The 22,054-nt window shown below is 36.9% G+C and overlaps 1 protein-coding gene and 1 long non-coding RNA gene across 3 annotated transcripts in view, besides 1 other annotated feature; one reads left to right on the forward strand and one right to left on the reverse strand.

Moving 5' to 3' along the window:
* FREM2 (FRAS1 related extracellular matrix 2) overlaps positions 1–22,054 on the forward strand; it is a 200,055-nt gene that overhangs the window by 127,830 nt on the left and 50,171 nt on the right. The window contains exon 7 of one of the 2 annotated variants that reach the window (XR_941571.3): positions 6,764–6,942. The exons of the other annotated variant lie outside the window; for it this stretch is intronic. The gene's annotated coding sequence lies outside the window, so the exon portion shown is untranslated. The remainder of the gene's footprint in view (positions 1–6,763; positions 6,943–22,054) is intronic. 2 annotated transcript variants of the gene reach the window in all.
* Positions 6,778–12,685, reverse strand: FREM2-AS1 (FREM2 antisense RNA 1). Its single transcript, NR_146963.1, has 2 exons — positions 12,505–12,685; positions 6,778–7,196 (listed from the first exon to the last, which is right to left on the reverse strand). It is a non-coding gene; the product is annotated as an FREM2 antisense RNA 1 (long non-coding RNA).
* Positions 9,613–9,802: an enhancer, noted in NCBI's record as "active region_7596". NCBI's record gives its function as "activates an Ori minimal core promoter by ATAC-STARR-seq in GM12878 lymphoblastoid cells {active_cell/tissue: GM12878}" and the evidence as "EXISTENCE:reporter gene assay evidence [ECO:0000049][PMID:35858748]".

Here is a 22,054-nt window from a genome sequence, read left to right on the forward strand (position 1 = left end):
GCTTTTCTCTTAGCTTGTGGTGAATGCTGGCAGGCACAGGACTCAGCCTTCAGGACAGTGGGCTCCCCTCTGGCCCAGGGAAGGTTTTGAAGTGCTGTGCAAGAATCTAGACCTTGACTCAGGGACCCTAAGGGCCTGCTTGTTGTTCTACCCCATTGTGGCAGAGCTGGTGCTGATTTTTGGCTCTTGTGGTGGTGCTTTTCTGTGTACACATGGTTGCTAAAATTTGGTGTTCCTAGGTGGAGGGAACAAATGGTATAGCCTTCTATTCCACAATCTTGCTCTACTTCCCATGAATTGTTTTTATTTCATTGCGTTGTTTTACTGGGTTCCTTGTATCTGGCTGTTTCCTTAAGATCATTGTTTTGAAATTTTCAGGCATTTTGTACATGCCTTTTTCTTTGGTTTCTCTTACTAGAGAAATGTTTTGTTCCCTTGTAGAAGGCAAGAAACAAATCTCAGAATAGAAAAGAAATGGAAGCTAAAAAAATTCAGAAGATCAACAAAATGAAGAGTTAATTTCTTGAAACAATAACAAACTTGAAAAACCTTTAGCTAGACTAAGAAATAAAAGAAGACAAAATTAGATATTAAACAAGAGACATTACAACTGATACCACAGAAATACAAAGGATGATGAGAGGCTGCTTTAAACAACTATATGCCAACAAATTTGATAACATAGTCCATTTGAGATTACCCGAGGCTGGGTAATTTATAAGGATACGAGGACTATTTGGCACACAGTTCTGCAGGTACAAAAAAGCATGGTGCTAGCACCTGTTCAGTTTTTGATGAGGGACTCAGGCTGCTTTCACTCATGGCAGAAGGTAAAGAGGAGCCAGAAGGTGCAAGATCCCATAGTGAGAGATCCCAAGCTTTTTAACAACCAGCTTTGGGGAGAACTAATAAAATGAGAACTCACTTACATCCACCAAGGGAGGACATTAATCTATTTATGAGGGATCTGTACCCATAACCCAAACACTTCCCATAGACCCCACCTCTGATATTGAAACCAAATTTCAACATGAGATTTGGTGGGGACAAACAAACCATATCCAAACTACAGTAGAAGAAATGGATAAATTCCTGGACACATACAACCTGTCAAGATTGAACCATGAAGAAATAGAAAATCTGAGCAGGTCAGTAATGACTGAGGACATTGAATCAGTAATAAAAAGTCCTCCATCAAAGAAGAGCTCAGGACTGGACAGATTCCCAGCTGAATTCTACCAAACATTTAATAAAGAACTAATACCAATTCTTCTCAAACTATTCCAAAAAATTGAAGAGGAAGGAATACTTCCAAAGTTATCTTACGAGGCTGGAATTACCCTGATTTCAAAATCAAACAATCACATAACAACAAAGAAAAACTACAGGTTAGGATCTCCAGTGAACATAGATGTGAAAATTCTTAACGAGATGCTAGCAAACTGAATCCAACAGCATATTAAACAAATCATTCACTGTGGTCAAGTGGAGTTTATTCCAGAGATGCATGGATGGTTTAACATTTGCAAACCAATAAATGTGATATGCACATTAACGGAAAGAATTATTTTTTAAAATATCATTTCAATAGAGGCAGAAAAAGCATTTGATAAAAATTTACTATCATGATTAAAACGCTCAAGAAATTAGATTCACATGGTACTTACCTCAATGCAGTAACAGCCATATATGACAAACACACAGCTAACATCATACAGAGTGAGGAAAAATTGTAAGCTTTTCCTGTAAGGTCAGGAACTAGACAAAGATGCCCGCTTTTACCATTTCTATTTAATGTAGTAAATGAAGACCTAGCCGGAGCAATTAGGCAAGAGAAAGAAATAAAAGGCATTCAAATTTGAAAGGAGGAAGCTAAGTGCCCTGTTTGCAGATGACATGATCTTATATATAGAAAACCTTAAAGACTCCATTGAAAAACAGAACTAATAAACAAACTCAGTAAAGTCGCAGTATACAAAGTAAACATACAAAAATCAGTAGCATTTCTATATGCTCTTAGTGAACTATCTGAAAAAGAAATCAAGAAAACAGTTTCATTTACAATAGCTACAAAAAAGATACCTAGTAATAAATTTAGTCAAGGAGGTGAAAAATCTTTATACTGAGGCTATAAAACTTTGATGAAAGAAATGTAAAATAATACAAATACATGGAAAGATATCCTATATTTGTGGATTGTAAGAATTAATGTCATAAAATGGCCAAACTACTCAAAGCGATGTACAGATTAATGCAATTCCTATCAAAATGCCAATGGCATTCTTCACAAAAATAGAAATAAACAATTCTAAAATTTATCTAGAACAAAAGACCCAAAACAACCAAAGCAATCCTGTGCAAAAAGAACAAAGCTGGAAGCTTCATACTACCTCACTTCAAAATATACTACAAAGCTATAGTAAGTACAGAACAACATGGTGCTGGCATGAAAAACAGACACATAGACCAATGGAATAGAATATAGAACCCAGAAGTAAATTTACACACCTACAACCAACTGATTTTCAACAAATGTACCAAAAATACATGTTGGGGAAAAGACAATCTTTTCAATAAATGGTATTGGGAAAATTAGTTTATCTACGTGCAGAAGAATGAAACTAGATCCCTACCTCTCACTATATATAAAAATCAACTCAAAATGGATTAAGGATCTTAGTGTAAAATCTGAAGCTAACAGAAGAAAACATAGGAGAAACACATCAGAGCATTGGGCTGGGCAAGGACTTTTTAGATAAGACTTCAAAAGGATAGTCAACAAAAGGAAAAATAGGCATATAGGATTATATCAAACTAAAAAGCTTTTCCATAGCAACAGAAACTGTTAAGAGAGTGAAGAGACAACCTACAGAATGGGAGAAAATATTTGCAAACTATAGATGCGAAAACGGGTTAATATCTAGAATATATAAGGGACATAATAGCAAAACAACAATAACAATATTAATCAAAAATGGGCAAAAGGCCATTTTTCAAAATAAGACATACAAATGACAAACAGGTATATAAAAAATGTTCAACATTGCTAACCATCAGAGAAACACAAACCAAAACCAAAATAAGATACCATCTCACTTCAGTTAGAATGGCTATTATAAAAAAAGACAAGTGTTGGTGAGAATGTGGAGAAAAGGGAACACTGACGTACTGTTGGTGAGGTTGTAAGCTAGTACAGCCATTATGGAATACAGTATGGCGGTTCCTCAATTAACTAGAAATAGGATTCCCATATTATTCAGCAATCCCACAGTTGAGTATTTACTGAAAATATTTGAAATCCATATGTTGAAGAGGTATCTGCATGCCCATGTTTATTGCAGCACTATTTACAATAGCTAAGATATGGACTCAACCTAAGTATTCAACAATGGATGAATAGATGAAAAAATGTGGTATAAAAACCCAACAGAATACTATACAGTCATAAAACATAATGAAATCCTATCATTTGAGACAACATGGGTGAACCTGGAGGACACCATGTTAAGTGAAATAAGCCAGACACAGAAAGACAAATACCACATGATGTCACTCATATGTGGAATCTACAAAGGAAAAAAAGTTGATATCATTGAAGCAGAGAATAGAACTGTGGTTATCAGAGATTGGGAAAAGGAGAAAGGAGAGGTAGATGGAGAAAGGTTGATTAATAGGTACATGTTACAATTACATAGAAGGAATAAATTCCAGTGTTCTATTGCACAGTAGTGTGACTATGGTTAACAATAAAATATTATATATTATAAAAAAGCTGACTGGACATGATGGCTCATGCCTGTAATCCCAGCACTTTGGGAGGTTGAGGCAGGTGGATCACCTGAGATCAGGAGTTTGAGACCAGCCTGGCCAACATAGTGAAACCCCGTCTTTACTAAAAATACAAAAATTAGTGGGGCAGAGGTTGCAGTGAGCCAAGATCGCACCACTACACTCTAGTCTGGGCAACAGAGCAAGCCTCCGTCTCAAAAAAAAAATGCTAGAAGAAAGGCTTTTGAGTGTTCTCATCACAAAGAGATAATGCATGATGTGCTGGATATACTAACTACCCTTATTGTGTCATTATACAATACAGAAATATATCAAAACATCAAGTTGCACCTCATAAATATGGGAAATTACAGAGTGTCAATTAAAAAACAAATTTAAAAACAAAGAAGAAGGCAAATGAGCAAAGATCAGAGACTGCTGTAGTGGGTTTGTTAGCAATAGGAGTCCATTTGACTCAACCTGTTATGGCCAGAACCTCCAAAGGCCCTGGCTGCTATGCTGCTGTGCGCTTGCCTGGTCTTTTTGAAACTGTTGATACAATGCACTGCTCACCACAGGAAAAGCATTAAAGAGCTTTGTTCCACTGCACACACACAAGCTTGGCAAGCAGCCACTTGAATTTCTCCTGCTAGTCACATAAAAACATTTCACCACCATTACCAGAAAAGGCAAAGGCTCCAAACTTCTTTATGAGAAAAACTAACCATTTTGTATAATTTACACTGAAGAATGACCTTTCTCCCCACAAGAAAGTGAGCACAGGGAGCTGTGGCAGGACATAGGGCTGGTTCACCCAGAAATGAGCCCTCAAATTCATGGAGTGTAAATTTACAGATATGTAGTCTGCTAGAGTGGTTTTAGGATATCAAGGTTGTGGTACCGATTAGGATCATGCTGTTCACAATATTAAATTAACTTATGTCTTTATTTTTTAGGGCTTTGTAGATATCATATATTTTTATATAATCATAGCTATCATGAACACCTTCCAAGATGTGCTAAATCTTTTACCTGAATTATTTAATACACATATGCACATACACAAATTATGAGCCAAGTTTTATTATGCCTGGGTTTTATCATCTGTGAGTGGTTGGATAACTTGCCCAAGGTCAAACAGCCGGTAAGCATTTAGCCAGCCTGACTAAAGAGACTATGGCATTAACAACTACGCAGCACACTTCATATTATACTAGCAGTAAGTATATTTAATATACACAATGACCTTCTGATTCTACAATGTAATACTCAAAGTTATTATTAGTTATCCTAATAGGGAAGTTTACAAGATGAAACAAGCTATATATACTTTTATAGACATATAGCACCTGAATATTGATAATTGAAATGTCATAGATAATAGAATAACTTGTAAATGAACTATTCTTGTTGATCTTTTATCAATTATAACTCCCCTTGGATCTTTAGCAAAGCTTATTAGTGCAGTCTCAATCTGGTACTTCAATTGGACAAGGAATAGCACTGCTTTTTCCACATCATCTAGCAAATGACCCGGTGAAAATGGTTGCCTTTCTGAAAGATTGCATTTTGGCTCTCTTGTCAAGTCCTCGTGGATAAATATTGTCTTGAGTTTGTTTTGTCTTTTTCCCAGTAACACTATCTGCCTGATTCCCATCTCTTCCAAACAGAAAAGTGAATGCTGGCCATGCAATACTATCTTACAGACATCAAAGAATACATATTTCTGATTTATTACCACTAAAACCCTGGAAGCAGTTTACTAAACATTTATAGGAACCTCAAGATCTCAGTCACAGAAAATTCCATTTTAGTGTTAAAAATCACATAAATCTGAGAAGCAGCTTCTCAGATACTAGACTTCAGAATTTGTAAATTTAAAACTATTAAAATGAATTTTATAATAAAAACCAATAAAATACACAAAAAGTTGATTAAATGGAAAAGATCTCTTACTAGATACTATTGTTGTGATCAAAAAGTCCTAATTATTTGCTGGCCAGAGAGGTCTGGCATATCTTTTTATTGAAATCATAAAACATACAGAAAATGCTGAAAAGCCAAACATGGCAACTTGGCTGAAAACAGAGCACTTCAAAGTCTTGGCCTGCATGCCTCAGTGATGTAAAGAGAGGCCAGCATCTGTGAAATGCTGCCATGGACTTGCAGGGCTATGATTATTTTAAGTCTAGAAAATGCACTATGCACCTATGGTCTACTGTTGAAAACATGTACCTCCATTACTAAACAGACAGCAGCATCTCCACGTATGGTATTAGAATGAAATATTAAGAAAACATTTTGTAATAGATGTACTATTTTCTGACATTGGTGGATATACCAGTGGTCACTGTAGAGATGTGAAACTTGCTAGTTTGCTTCTTTATAAAACCAGAAGTAGTTGTCTCATTAGGAGTCCTTATGGTGTCCCTATGTTCTCTGTGAACCTTCCTTCTCTTTGTAGATAAATGTTACCTTTCAGAGGGAACAGATAGGTGTTATGTTTTCCTTGAGAAATAGGCCTTCATCCTGTCTGACTGGACATCAGATCTTCTTTTCCCTGATTTATTCCTGTGTTGTAAATCTTATACATTTTTTTTTTGTAATTGGCCTAAAATCTTCCTTAAATTATGTAGAGAACCTTACACTGACCTAGAAAGATACAAGATTGCCCAGTCAAATATAGTGCTATTGTTATTTGACAAACAGTAAAGTATGTGACAAATAATCACAATAATAATTTATATTGAAATTTTAAACATATAGCTAAAACTAAAAATGCCTTCTTTCTCTAGGCCATTTGTAACCATTTGAAGCACTTAAAATGATGGATGAAGCTTTTCCTTCATACTACTGGAGAAATAAATCATCTTTTTTTCTCTTTTTTCTAAGAAACAGGTCTTTTTTCTGTCTCTCTGAAACAGGCGTTTGAAATAATTTGAATTCACACATTTATTCATTTAAAACACACACCTAACATCTCTCATGTTTCCAGATGCTGTGCGAGGGTAGAGGGCATAAGGATTTGTCCTGGCCTCACTTCACGTGCTTATAGGCCCCTGCTAAGTGGCGGGCAGTCTCCAGGACATTAAGGACACAGTGGTGAAAGACACTAGCCCAATCTATAGAGAACTTCGAGACGGAAATAGACAAACAGCTCCAACAAGGCAAAGGGTAAGTCCAGGCTCCCCATGCAGTGACGGCTTTCAGAAGGTTCTCTCACTTGGCCTCAGGCTCCCGGAAGGCCAGTTCTCTTCCACACAAAGAATGGAGGAGTCTGAATCATTGAGTGGGCAGCCAGTAAACTGATGCTCAGAGTCACGTGTCTTTTTAGGCTGTGACAGTCTCTCCATTGTGAAGACAACTGCACTATTTGGGATGAGCCAAGTTACAGTACAATTCAGCAGTTCCTGAGTTTAAACACATTCCTGTGAAAAGAAATAAAACAGCTGATAGATCTTTACTCGTGTGTACCTTTTTAAAAAGCAAGAATATAGGTATTGTGAGAGGAAAAAAATAGCTTTCTTTTTACACCTTATAGAGCTGAAATATATCTCAGCTTCAATTTCCCTGAGGGTGTTTCACAAACAATGGGTTTCACAGGCCCAGGAAGTATACTACAGAGCTGAAGCTCTGTGGTCAAAATGCCAACAAGGAGCCCATTCTTTCTTTCTTTTTTTTTTTTTTTTTTTTTTTTAAGAATCACACTTATTCAGAAGGGTAATTTTTGAGAGCACACTCCCTGCCAGAGAAGGCTTTAAAAAGCCAAAGCCACAGTCTTTCACAGTCTCAGTGCTGCAAGATGATCCTATAAATACAAGATAAAATTAGAAGTGGTCTAGGTGTTGCTTTATGCCTGTGGGTCTAGCGTGCACGGTCTGCATCTCATAAACTGGTGGAATGCTGTCTGCGCTAAATAGGGGGTTGAAAACAGTACAGTTTTATAAGTCTTTCCAGGGGATCGCTATCCTCCCAACAAACCTAGCATGCATGTTTTCTGTGATGTTGGTCCTCAACATATATTTTGAAGTTTTTAAAATGACAGTATATCTAAATAGTAATATGTATTCGATCTAGTTCAGTATACTGAGAGGACAAATCAACGCTTTGCAGTAGAAGATGTTAGGTTAGCTCCCTGAGGAAAATTTTATGACTCTGTTCAACACATCCCTTGACATCTCTGTGAAGAAGGAAACTTCATCAAACCCTGTGATGTAATTATGGAAGACACAATGATTTTGTCATGTGTGAAAACTCTTTTTTTCTTCTTCTTTTTAAACAGTGCAAGAAAAGTGATGTAGGCACACATCTTACCAGACTTAATGTCTTAGATTCTGAAAAGCATCAAAACAAATCAGGAGAAAAACTCAATAGATTAGAACACTTAGTCCTTGCCCTACCCTGTTTTATTCCCGCTTATCCCTAATCTTGGTGAATGGTTCTATGAGTACTGGATTCCTTCCTCTCAGTCCTCACCCCAACTCCTTGATTCTACCTCCTTCATATCTCTAAATATTATATCCTTATTATTTTTCCTCGTCTGAACTGCCATCACCTGATCCAAACGAACTTCCTATCTTGCCTGGATTCTTGCACTTGCCAACTAGCTAGGCCGCCTGCTTCCAGTTTGCTCATATCCCACCCCTTTCCACCAGACCATTCATCCTCCAGAACCCTAAATGCACATTTCATCATCATGTTCCCCCCTTTTTTAACACTGAGCACACCTCTCACCTGCTAATTTCTAGGACAAGGCTCCCACCACAAGGTCCTGCATGGCCTGGCCATGGCTCCCTGCTTTCCTTGTTCACCCCATCTCCTCATTCCAAGCAGCATACAATACCACAGCAAACTCTGCAGCCCCCAAACATATGAGGCTGTCTACTTATCTTTAGTTTCTATTTCTGCTTCTACTTGAAGAAAAATTCTCCCTCTCTACCTCCTCATTCATCAGCTGGCTAACTCATATTAATGCCTCAAAATTCAGCTGCCAATAATTAAAATAATAATAATAATAACTTATGGTGACTGAGCACTTTCCATGTGCAGGTAAAGTAGTAACTTTATGGTCATCTTATTCTTCCTTTAAGAGAAAACATTCACAATTAAGCAACAGATAAGAGATGAGAGAAGTACCAGGGGACAGCAGTAATATGGAAAGAAAAGGATGAAGATGCAAGAAAAAAGGTTGTGGCCCATAGTATTAAATTCTTCAACGATAAAGACAAAGATTTGCAATATGCAATTGGGTTTTGCAAAAAGAAGGGCATTGGCCAACTTGGAGAGAGTATTTCTTGAGTGTTTTGGAGAATGAGGCCGTGTTTCAATGAGCTTAAAATTAATGAGAGCTGAGAATATGAAAATAATGGATAGAGCATTTCAAGTGATTATTCAAGTGAAAGGAAGAAAGAAACTTTAAGATCAAATACCGGTGCTTGTGATAGGGGACAGAGTGGTAGTATTGTGGGAAAGATATGTTATGATGATTTTATGTAGAGAAGAAAGAGTGAGGAGAAAGAGACAGTTTTGTCACATAAAGTAGTAAAATTGGGTAGCACAATCTAAGCAATTAGAATTACATCATACAAGGAGAGGCATGATATGCTTATGAAGCCATATTGCTCGGTGTCTAATTCTGGCTCTGTCTTATAAGGTATATGTTCTTGGGATAATTATCTAACCCTTCTCTGCCCCAATTTCCTCATAACGTAACAGCCTGATGAGTTATTCTGGCTCGGTACACAAATAAAGACCGTGGCATTTTAGGAAAGAAAGAGTTTAATTGACACGAGGTCAGCCACACCATGTAGGAGATAGAGTTATTACTCAAATCAGTCTCACCAAAGGCTCATAGGTTAGGGGTTTTCCAAAGGTATTTTGAGGGAAACAGTGGGAGTGGCTATGCAATGGGTGCTTGCTGCTGATTGGTTGGGTCAGAGATGAAATCATAGGGAATTGAAGCTGTCCTCTTGAGCTGAGTTGGTTCTGGGTGGGGCCACAGGAGCCACCAGTTAGCAGCTCTAGGTGGAGCCATGCTGTTAGATACACACAAAACCTGAAAGGATATCACAAAATGCCTATCTACAATAGAAAAGTGATGTTATTTGCAGGAGTAACTGGGGAAGTTACACCTTATCAGAATTCAGACTCCTCTCCTCCTGTAGGCTGGTGGTCTCTCATTAGCTTCATAAAGGCAATTGAGTTTTGGGGAAGGACGGTTTTCATTTAAACTATAAACTAAATCTCTTCCAAAGTTAACCAGCCTAAACCCAGGCAGCTTGAAAGCTAAAGAAAAGGTTGGGGGTGGAGGGGGGCGGCGGGCTAGATCAGATCTCCCTCACTGCCATAATTTTCTCACTGATATAATTTTTTCGAAGATGGTTTCAATAATACTGTCTACCTCATAGGGTTGTTATACAGAATAAATAAGTTAATATATGTAAAGCACTTAGAATACCAATATGTTTAGCTGTCATTATTATTACTGCCAAGACAACTGTGCAATGCTGTGTTTGTTTTCGGTTTTAACTTCTAGACTAAGAACTCTTCGAAAACAAGGGCTGTGTCTTTATCATATCCCCAGTATGGAGCACAGTGCCTGATCCATAATAGGTGTTCAAAAAACAGATAATAAATTGGTGGTTAAATGTATGCAGGCAGGAGGGTTGGCCAGGACTACCTTTCTTGATATTCTTCCTATTACTTACTGTTTTTATAATATACAAAAAAATTAACCACAAAGAATAAAGCCTTATTTATTAAAAAAAAACCCACATGTAGTATATTCACAGAATATCAAACATCTAAGAACAAAACATGTGCTTTGTAGCTTACTTGAGTTTTCCTAGGTACGTCTCTGAAAAGCAGTGGTTAGCCTTCCACCTAAAGCCTGCAGTGAGGCATTGTCATTGCCCTAGAAAGCTCTGGCTGCTGCAGTTTATATTCAGCTATTAGAATGAAAATGCTGAACAGCTCCTTAGTGACATTACATGTATCTGAACACCAGTAGCCTTAAATTGGCATTTCCTTGTGTCAGCCATTTATTAAGCTGTCCAGTTCTATTACCCAGGCTCCTCTCTGAGCTACCTTTTACCCCCATCACTCACAGGCTCTGCCATGAGCATCACTCATATCACCCTGACTCAGGGCTGTGCTCCTTTCACTCTAGAAAGTGGCCTTGCTTTATTTTTAAATTGTATTTTAAAAATATATTAGACAGGTTTTTATTCTCTATAAATGAAAATACACGTTCAAATGATTAAACAAGTTGTTCTCTTTAAAGCCAAAATGTTATCTGATATAAGAAGTCATATAAAAATCATAATGCGTATGTTTACAGCTTCTTGGTTACTCTTTAAACACAAACCATCTTAAAGACAAGAATGGTTTTCTAACTCCTATTTTTCCTTGAGAGGAAGCACCTACTATCCTTCCAATAAAGACTGCAGGAAATAAGCATGAATCAATTGGATAAATGTTGAATGAGAGAAATAGCTGCCAACTAGTATCATATCAACAGGAAAAACACAAACGTCCCAGAAGGGCAAGAAGAATAGCTTGGACCTGAAAGCTTAGAGATCTGACTTCACGTAGATCAAATTGGATATTGCAGACCAGAAATACAAGAACCAAAGAAGTTGATTTCCCCAGTGTCGGGCATTTCGTAAGTGACTGAGAGGGGGAGTGGCACCCCTGGCTTGCAGAACAATGATTTTTTTTTCCACGTACAACAACGCAAGGAAGCAATGCAATAGCGTTGACTGCTAATATAGAGTAACACAAGGATAACCGAGGAAGAAGGATCTCACAATAAAGGAGCACATTCCTTCCAACTTGAAATGGAGTCGCTTTTGCTGTTTACTCTGGAGTCCCTTCCTGTGCTGCCTGCAGGCGTGTTCAGGTGTCAGTTGTCAAGCAGCCTGTGGTCAAGATTACTTATTGTTTGAGTGTCAATCACATGCTTTTATTCCTGAGACCTCACACAGATTGTGTTTGACACCATATTAATCGTCATCTTTCTTCATTCAGCTGTTGGAATTCCCAAATAAATCACCCTCATGTCACAGTCTCTGTTGATTTCAAAATCTTACTTATAAAATTTACTTTAGTTAGCAGGAATAAAATGTACATATGTGACTTCTGATTGGTGATTTTTGAAGCAGTGACAATTTTAAAGGTATGGAGAGTTTAAGCATAAAGTGACATCTCATTTTATTTCCCTCTTCCTAGAATCTTTTAATTAAGAAATTTATCCTCACAACTTAGGAATACTGATCTGTATAACATATTCTAATTTTCTCTTACGTAGAATATCATGTTCCTCCCTTTTTCTTTAATCAGATTCTCATTACACATCTTTTAAAGAAAATATTCTAAAAATCTAAACATCTAAAATGTTTACATGTCCAGACTCTTAACCATTTTCAGAAAAAGTACTATTTAATTTTTTTACAGTACAGATTTTGTATGTGAGTACCTTATGTTTGAATCCTCCTTATACCACATTCTAGTTGTGTGGCGTTGAGCAAGTTATTTAACCTCTCTGAGTCTTGACTTAATTTTATTTGTAAACAGCAGATAAAAATAATCACCTCTACAGCTGTTGTGAGCATTAAGACAATATAACAAGGTTTCTAGAGATCCTGGTGTCACTGGGGCAGGGGCAGTCAGTAAATGTAGCGATTATAATATTAATATTACATTAACTATGATGTTAAGTGGTGTGTTCTCACATACCTGATGAGATTTACATCCAAAATGATTACTTTTGAATAGAAACTTGGGAGGCAGTTGTCAGTCTTAGCTTATACCTCCACACTTGTTTTGATGACCTCCCATACACCAGACTGTATGTTTCTCATTGGAGTTTACAGACGAACAATAGGTGATTCCTGCCTTTGGGAAGCTTGAAGATGGATGTGTGGATAGATCACTGAAATAGGGCATAAAAATAATGGAAGAAGTGTGAGAAGGCAAGACTTTCTTGATAGCAGTAACTGTTAAGTAAGTTATATGTAAGAATGGAAAGACACAAACTTTGCAGGACCTCAGGACTGTGAGATGATGTTTTTGAAAGTGCAGTAACTACTCAGTTCCCTAGACAGCATAATCATCCACAACACTGTGAAATGCTATAGACAGTTGGTAGAGTTGAACCTGTTAAAGAGTAAAAATGTTTTAGAGAACTTAACGAAGAGGAGAGACTTTCTACTCTCTAATATTTTTGCCTAATATTCTGAGATTATGTTTAAAGGAGACAAGTTATACATGTTAATCTTTGTTTAGTAATAATATCTTTTATCACAAACTTATTACATGAGTACCAAGAAGGAGTCTTGTCATCTTCCTCACGGAAGCCACACCTCTCCCTTGAGGTCATTTAGTTTGATGCATCTTTCCATACATCCAATAACATGCACACATTTTTGTTTCATTTTAATTAGAGTAAATTATTGGTAAAGTGGCACAATATTCCAAAGGCAGGCTGTCTTACTTCCTTTTCAATTATTGGTTATTGATCTTGAATTTCTGGATCTCAGTTTTCTCATCTGTAAAATGAGGATGATAATAGTTTGTACCTCAAAGGTTGTTAGGAAGATTGAGTTAGTAGATAGATAAAGACAGAAATATATATAAAGTGCTTAGAACAGTTCAGGTACACTGAAAGTACTCAATAAATATTGGTTATTATTATTACATGATGATATATGTATTATCTTACGAAGTACTTATTTCACATAAGAATACATAATGGCCAGGCACAGGGTCTCACCCTATAATCCCATTTCTTTATGAAGCCGAGGTAGGAGGATCACTTGAGGCCAGGAGTTTGAGACCAGCCTGGGCAATATAGAGAGACCCCAGCTATACAAAAATAAAAAGTAAAATTAGCCTGGTATGGTGTTGTGTACCTGTAATCCTACCTTCTTAGGAGGCTGAGGCAGGAGGATCACTTGAGCCCAAAGATTCCAGTTTATAGTGAGCTATGATCTTGCCACTACACTGCAGACTGGGCAACAGAGAGAGAGAGACCATGTCTCTTAATAATAATAAATTAATTTAAAAAAAATTTTAAGAGACTATATTATGAAAAACTTTTCATGTCAATGCATATAAACCCAGCTCATTTTTAATGGTTATATAGTATTCCACAGTCTGGCTATAACATATTTAACAATCCCCTATGGATGGGCATTTAGACTGGTTTCAGATTTTTTTTCTAATCACATAAGTGCTGTAGTACATATCCTTTTTCACATATGCAGGGTGTCATTTATTTGCCTAGTCTCTATCATTACATTCAGTTTTAGATGTAACAAAATATATAATATGACAAGAAATTATCTGAGCCAAGCACTGCTATAAGCATGTTATATATATTCTCTCATTCAGTCCTTATAACAAATCCATGACACATATGCTGTCATAATCCCTAATTTTACAGGTGAAGAACTGAGACACACACATATTAGGTACCATGCCCAAAGCCATACTGCTAGAAAGTGATTCAGTAAGGGGTAGAACATAAGCAGTCTTAACAAAGCAAAGTTATTTAATTGAGAAAAGGCATCCATATTGGCATTCACTGTGCTATAGCCTATGATAGCTGGCTGTTGATAGTAAGAGTTTCTAACAGGTCTGTATCATATCCCGTAGTATGATGATATGGGCCTTCTCCAGAAATGAGGCCCTTTCAGCCTGTCATGGCAGAATAACCCTTTCCAAGATTCCTTTTAACATGATTTTGAAAGGAAATATATCAAACTTTTTCATTAACTATGGATAACTCAACTATTTATCATTATTTCTCATTTTTTGTCTTATACAAAAAGACAAACATTAATAGGAAAAAATACAAACACTATGATACATAAAATAGCATTTGGGGGCCTACTATGCTATTTGTAGTATAGTACACCATGTAGTGTAGTATGGAAATGGAGACCTCAGTAAAATGTATTTATTATATCCTTTTTTTTTTTTTAGATTTCACAGTGTCTTGATTTTACCTATTAAGTGAGTATAGAGCCCATTCCTCTATGAATAATTTTTTTATTTGAATAAACAAATTAATTTGTTTATTCAAATAAACAATAGATAGTGTCTGGAAACTGAAAGACACAAACGGAATACACAGGTTTGGAGTGAAATTTATTTTACCCACATCACACAATTTGGCTACTTTCCATCAGTGATTTGCTCTCAAAAGTTGTTTCTCTGCAACTTTTGTCTTTAAAAATAGACATAATGTTGACTAAATACATTACTTTTACCAGTCTTCTCAAACAATTGTACTTATAACCTTATGTTTAATTACATATATTATCTCTGCACAAATCTAGGGGATGCCCTCATCTATAGTCTTAGCCACAAAATATGGTTGGGAATTTTAATCTTCTCTAAAAGAAGACACATAGATGTGAATAAAGCGTGTTGATATATAGATTTTCTTAGCCAGATAATTTTAAAGAAATATATCATACAAGAGTACTGGGAAAGATAACAAACGAAAGTGAGGAAAATGACTGTGTACCAGAAATCAGTTGGCAATGGCACAATGAATGACAACACAAATATCCTTCAAAATTAAAAAGCTGGCCAGTTGATCAAGCAGGATATCACCCAGTCATCCACTTTGATACTGTCCTTCACATGTGATTGATCACAAAGCATTGTCACTGTATTTCTGAAGCTCTTCTAGAATCTGACTTCTCAATCTTCCCACCTCCACTGCCCTAGCTCAAGACCTCACTGTTTCTCTGAATTGCACTTTCCCCTCAAGGGTCCCACGGCTTATGGTCTAACTCTGCTTCAGTCCATCCACCATGCTTGGTTTGCTTTTTTTGCAAACCAAGTTCTGATGATTTCAATTCCAGCTTAAAAATCAGCGTTGACTCCCTTTTTTCTGTAGTTCTTAGCATGTATTGCAAGAACTTGCAAAACCTGGCTCTCACCTTAACTTCCTCCCTGGGCTTTCGCCCTTTCCTATACTACAGCCACACAACTTCCCAACCTACTGCACACTCACGTCTTTCTTTTCCTTTATCTGAGATGCTTTTCCTCTTCAATGCTGCCAAGCATTGAAGGTCCAGCTCACATTTTTTCTTCTCTGGGTTGCTGTCCTGTGTCAGCTCTCCATCTCGGGAACCTCTGCACTACAGCAGCTGTCACCTGTTACAATCACTCTGCCCTCCCAGACTAGCAGCTGAAGGGTGACGACTGATTCTCAGACTCTAATATGTGTACATTCACCTGAAACAGTTTAAAATCCTTGACTCGGAGAAATGTTGGTTTTGTTGATTTAAGATGAGGCCCCAGGAATGTGTGTTTTAAAACCCCTCGGGTACTTGCAGTATAGATCTGTGACCACCTTTGGGAAACAGTTTTATATACAATAGTTTAGGAAACTGTAAATTGCACCTCACTGAGTCGAGAAATCAATTAGTAGGTCATGACCAGTTTTTCCTTCTTCTTCCTCATATATGGGGTATGCTGTCATATGGAATAGAAAAAATATTTTAAGTTTTGAAACAATCTTCTAGAAGGCAGGGAACTCAATAGCATTTGTGGAATAAAGAATACTCATGAAGCCTCTTCACATGCTACTGGATGTTGGAAAATTTTGATGACTGTGATGCTTACATTTTATTTTACACTTGTGATGACTCTCAAAAAGGCAAGAGAAGATTCCAGAATGAAACTACATTGATGATAGAATCTCTGATATCATTATCTTTTTGAAGAAAGACTCACTATGTATTTTCAACTGAGATTTTGGGCAGGTTCAGTATTTAAATTGTCATCATTCTAGACATGTATTGACTTTTCTTTACTCTCCCTGAGAAAATTATAGTTGACAAGAAAAAGAAATGTTAAAACATGTCTTTAAAATGATATATATTTTTAAACTTTCCCTTTTTATATACATTTTAACTTCAATTTTTTTTTTTTTTGAGATGGAGTCTTGCTCTGTCGCCCAAGCTGGAGTTCAGTGGTGTGATTTTGGCTCACTGCAACCTCCACCTCCCAGTTTCAAGCAATCCTCCTGCCTCAGCCTCCTGAGTAGCTGGGACTACAGGTGTGCACCTCATGCCAGACTGAATTTTTTTTTTTTTTGGTATTTTTAGTAGAAATGGGCTTTTGCCATGTTGGCCAGGCTGATCTCGAACTCCTGACCTCAGATAATCTGCCTGCCTTGGCCTACCGGAGTGCTGGGATTATAGCCGTGAGCTACTGCATCTGGTCCTGAACTTTAATTTTTCAACAATAATTTTGAAAATGCTTTTTAAAGACTAGATATGAGCTCATTTTTCAGAATGTATGTTTATGTAAAGTATTTATTGAAAGAAAAGTGAGTAGGCCAGGGACAGTGGCTCACGCCTGTAATCCTACCTGTCTTGGAGGCCAAGGCAGGTGGATCACTTGAGGTCAGGAGTTCAAGACCAGCCTGGCCAACATGGTGAAACCCCGTCTCTACTAAAAATACAAAAATTAGCTGGAAATTGCTTGAACCCGGGAGGCAGAGGTTGCTGTGAGCCAAGATCTCACCACGGCACTCCATCCTGAGCGACAGAGCAAGACTCTGTCTCAAAAAATGAAAAATAAAAAGAAAAGTGGGGAAAGGCCATGCCTAAATTATTTAAAACTAATTTTTTAATGATATTATTACAGGGAGAAGTTCATCAACATTTTTTTCTTCTTCGTTTTTCTTAGTTGCAAAAGGAATCAATGCTACTTGAAAAAGTTAAATGGGTAGCAAATGAATGTATGCAAGAAATGTATAGCAAAGGAAGTGAAATTTCCTCACAATCTCAGCTCTAGGAAATAACCAGTTAGTGGTTTAACATACATTCTTTCTTATTTTCTATGCATCAAAAAATAAACTATGTAGTTTATTTTTAATAAGATATAATAATTTTATACATACCATTCTCTATCTACCATGTTAAAAAATTTCATTGCAGAAAAACCCACAAACAATATAACATAAAATGTGCTCTATGTAAAATTAAACAATATTACTATTTTTCATAGTTGCTTTAGGTGTTTTAAAGATATGAAGCAGTACATATTAAAATGTTAAGTCTCAGCAGGGTTCAGTGGCTCATGCTTGTCATCTAAGCACTTTGGGAAGCTGAGGCGGACAGATCGCTTGAGTCCAGGAGTTCAAGACCAGCCTGAGAAACATGGCAAAACCCCATCTCTACATTAGAAATTAGCTGGGTGTGGTCATGCACGCTTGTAGTCCCAGCTACTCAGGAGGCTGAGACAGAAGATTTGCTTAAGCCCAGGAGGTGGAGGTTGCAGTGAACTGAGATTGAGCCACTACACTCCACCCTGGGTGACAGAATGAGACTGTGTCTCGAAAAAAAAGCAAAAAAAAGTTAAGTCTCTATTAGTGTCTTTTAACTGCCATTGTCCCCAAGAGCAGCATGTCATAAATTAAGTATGTATATATACTTTTTATAGTCTTATCTTTTTCCCATTTTTCTGCAGTTTTGTTTGATAACTGTCTTTTATAACTGGCATATGGTTTTGTTTTTTAACCCAACCTAAAAAACTTTTTTAACTATATTTTTTAATAATAAAGCTAACAACTTTTAAATAATAAACAATTTATTTACATTTGTTCTTAGTATTGATACATTTGGGCTTTTTATTTCATTTTCTGCATATGAACTTTGTTTCTCCTCCTTCCCAGCTTCTTGTAATATTGGGAAACTTCTCCCTATTCTTAGTTATTTTTTATTCTCTGCTAGTTTCTGCCCTTTTGGTGGCAACCCTTATCATTTTAAGAGTTATTTAACCATCTGAGCAACCAAGTTTGTTCTCTTGACTAAGACAAGGACATTAAAATATTTCATCTACTCACTGAACCCCATTTATAACCTCCTTACTGTTATCTCAATTTTTAGGTTCAACATTGAATGGAAAAAAATAATTCAATGAGTTTACTAGCATATTTTATTGATTTCTTTGCTCAACAGAATTTCTTACATTTTGAGTCCTTTGGATTTATTTATTTATTTCAGTGTCCATCTATAGGTAGATGAAACTTCTTCATCTTCAAAGCCTGAAAAACCCATATTTCTCTCTCACTCTTGAATTTTGTTTTAGTTTGGTTTCCTGTGATCCCCCTCAAGAGTTGATTCATTGCCTGTCTCCAGAACTAGAGACCAGTAGGACCACACTCCTTTGGCTTCACCTACCACTATGATGTTCTGCTTCATTTTTAGTCCATAGAGATGTTTATTTTGTTTTGAGCACAGTCCTCTTTTTGCTTATCGAGTATATTAACAGGAGAGGAAAAAATTTCAAAGCTACCAAAAAGAAATGGCAAATTACCCCTTTTTTTAAATTATACTTTAAGTTCTGGGATACATGTGCAGAACGTGCTAGTTTGTTACATAGGTATACATGTGCTGTGGTGGTTTGCTGCACCCATCAACCCATCATCTACATTAGGTATTTCTCCTAATGCTATCCCTCCCCTTGATCCCCACCCCCCAATAGGCCCCAGTGTGTGATGTTCCCCTCCCTGTGCCCATGTGTTCTCATTGTTCAACTCCTACTTATGAGTGAGAACATGCAGTGTTTAGTTTTCTGTTCCTGTGTTAGTTTGCTGAGAATGATGATTTCCAGCTTCATCCATGTCCCTGCAAAGGACATGAACTCATCCTTTTTATGGCTGCATAGTATTCCATGGTATATATGTGCCACATTTTCTTTATCCAGTCTAACGTTGATGGACATTTATAGTAGAATGATTTATAATCTTTGGCTATATACCCAGTAATGGGATTGCTGGGTCAAATGGTATTTCTGGTTCTAGATCCCTGAGGAATCACCACACTGGCTTCCACAATGGTTGAACTAATTTACACTTCCACCAACAGTGTAAAAGCATTCCTATTTCTCCACATCCTCTCCAACATCTGTGGTTTCCTGACTTTTTAATGATCGCCATTCTAACTGGCATGAAATGGTGTTCATTGTGGTTCTGATTTGCTTTTCTCTAATGACCAGTGATAATGAGCTTTTTTCATATGTTTGTTGGCTGCATAAATGTCTTCTTTTGAAAAGCATCTGTTCATATCCTTTGCCCACTTTTTCATGAGGTTGTTTGTTTTTTCTTGTAAATTTGTTTAAGTTCATTGTAGATTCTGGACACTAGCCCTTTATCAGATGAATAGATTGCAAAGATTTTCTCCCATTCTGTAGGTTGCCTGTTCACTCTGATAATAGTTTCTTTTGCTGTGCAGAAGCTCTTTAGTTTAATTAGATCTCATTTGTCAACTTTGGCTTTTGTTGCTATTGCTTTTGGTGTTTTAGTCATGAAGTCTTTGCCCATGCCTATGTCCTGAGTGGTACTGACTAGGTTTTCCCCTAGGGTTTTTATGTCATTAGGTCTTACATTTAAATCTTTAATACATTTCAGTTAATTTTTGTATAAGCTGTAAGGAAGGAGTCCGGTTTCAGTTTACTGTGTATGGCTAGCCAGTTTTCCCAACACCATTTATTAAACAGGGAATCATTTCCCTATTTCTTATTTTTGTCAGGTTTGTCAAAGATCAGATAGTTGTAGATGTATGGCGTTACTTCTGAGGCCTCTGTTCTGTTCCACTGGTCTATATATCTGTTTTGGTACCAGCATCATGCTGTTTTTGTTGCCATAGGCTTGTAGTATAATTTGAAGTCAGATAGTGTGATGCCTCCAGCTTTGTTCTTTTTGCTTAGGATTGTCTTGGCTATACGGGCTTTTTTGGTTCCATATTAAATTTAAAGTAGTTTTTTCTAATTCTGTGAAGAAAGTCAATGGTAGCTTGATGGAATAGCATTGAATCTATAAATTACTTTGGGCAGTATGCCCATTTTCATGATATTGATTCTTCCTATCCATGAGCATGGAATATTTTTCCATTTGTTTGTGTCCTCTCTTAGGTCCTTGAGCAGTGGTTTGTAGTTCTCCTTGAAGAGGTCCTTCACATCCCTTGTAAGTTGTATTCCTGGGTATTTTATTCTCTTTGTAGCAGTTGCGAATGGGAGTTTGCTCATGATTTGGCTCTCTGTTTATCTATTATTGGTGTATAGGAATGCTTGTGATTTTTGCACATTCTCAGTATCCTGAGACTTTGCTGAAGTTGCTTATCAGCATAAGGAGATTTTGGGCTGAGACGATGGAGTTTTCTAAATATACAATCATGTCATCTGCAAAAAGAGATAATTTGACTTCCTCTCTTCCTATATGAATACCTTTATTTCTTTCCCTTGCCTGATTGTCCTGGCCAGAAATTCCAATACTATGTTGTATAGGAGTGGTGAGAAAGGGCATCCTTGTCTTGTGCTGGTTTTCAAAGGGAATGCTTCCAGCTTTTGCCCATTTGTGTGATATTGGCTGTGGGTTTGTCATAAATAGCTCTTATTATTTTGAGATATGTTCCATCAATACCTAGTTTATTGAGCGTTTTTAGCATGAAGGAGTGTTGAATTTTATCGAAGGTCTTTTCTGCATCTATTGAGATAATTATGTGGTTTTTGTCATTGGTTCTGTTTATGTGATGGATTACATTTATTGATTTGCATATGTTGAACCAGCCTTGCATCCCAGGGAAGAGGCCGACTTGATCGTAGTAGATAAGCTTTTTAATGTGCTGCTGGATTCGGTTTGCCAGTATTTTTTATTGAGGATTTTCACATGGATGTTCATCAGGGATAGTGGCCTGAAATTTTCTTTTTTTGTTGTGTCTCTGGCAGGTTTTGGTATCAGGATGATGCTGGCCTCATGAAATGAGTTAAGGAGGAGTCCCTCCTTTTCTATTGTTTGGAATAGTTTCAGAAGGAATGGTACCAGCTCCTCTTTGTACCTCTGGTAGAATTCGGCTGTGAATCCATCTGGCCCTGGGCTTCTTTTGGTTTGTAGGCTATTAATTACTGTGCCAATTTCAGAACTTGTTATTGGTCTGTTCAGGGATTTGAATTCTTCCTGGTTTAGTCTTGGAAGGGTGTATGTGTCCAGGAATTTATCAATTTCTCCTAGATTTTCTAGTTTATTTATGTAGAGGTGTTTATAGTATTTTCTGATGGTAGTTTGTATTTCTGTGGGATCAGTGGTGATCTCCCCTTTATCATTCTTTATTGTGTCTATTTGATTCTTCTCTCTTTTCTTCTTTATTAGTGTGGCTAGTGGTGTATCTATTTTGTTAATATTTTCCAAAAGACCAGCTCCTGGATACATTGATTTTTTAAAGGGTTTTTTGCGTCTCTACTTCAGTTCTGCTCTGATCTT

This window comes from Homo sapiens, chromosome 13 (assembly GCF_000001405.40).
Source record: "Homo sapiens chromosome 13, GRCh38.p14 Primary Assembly".
In the NCBI taxonomy this organism is placed as follows: Eukaryota; Metazoa; Chordata; class Mammalia; order Primates; family Hominidae; genus Homo; species Homo sapiens.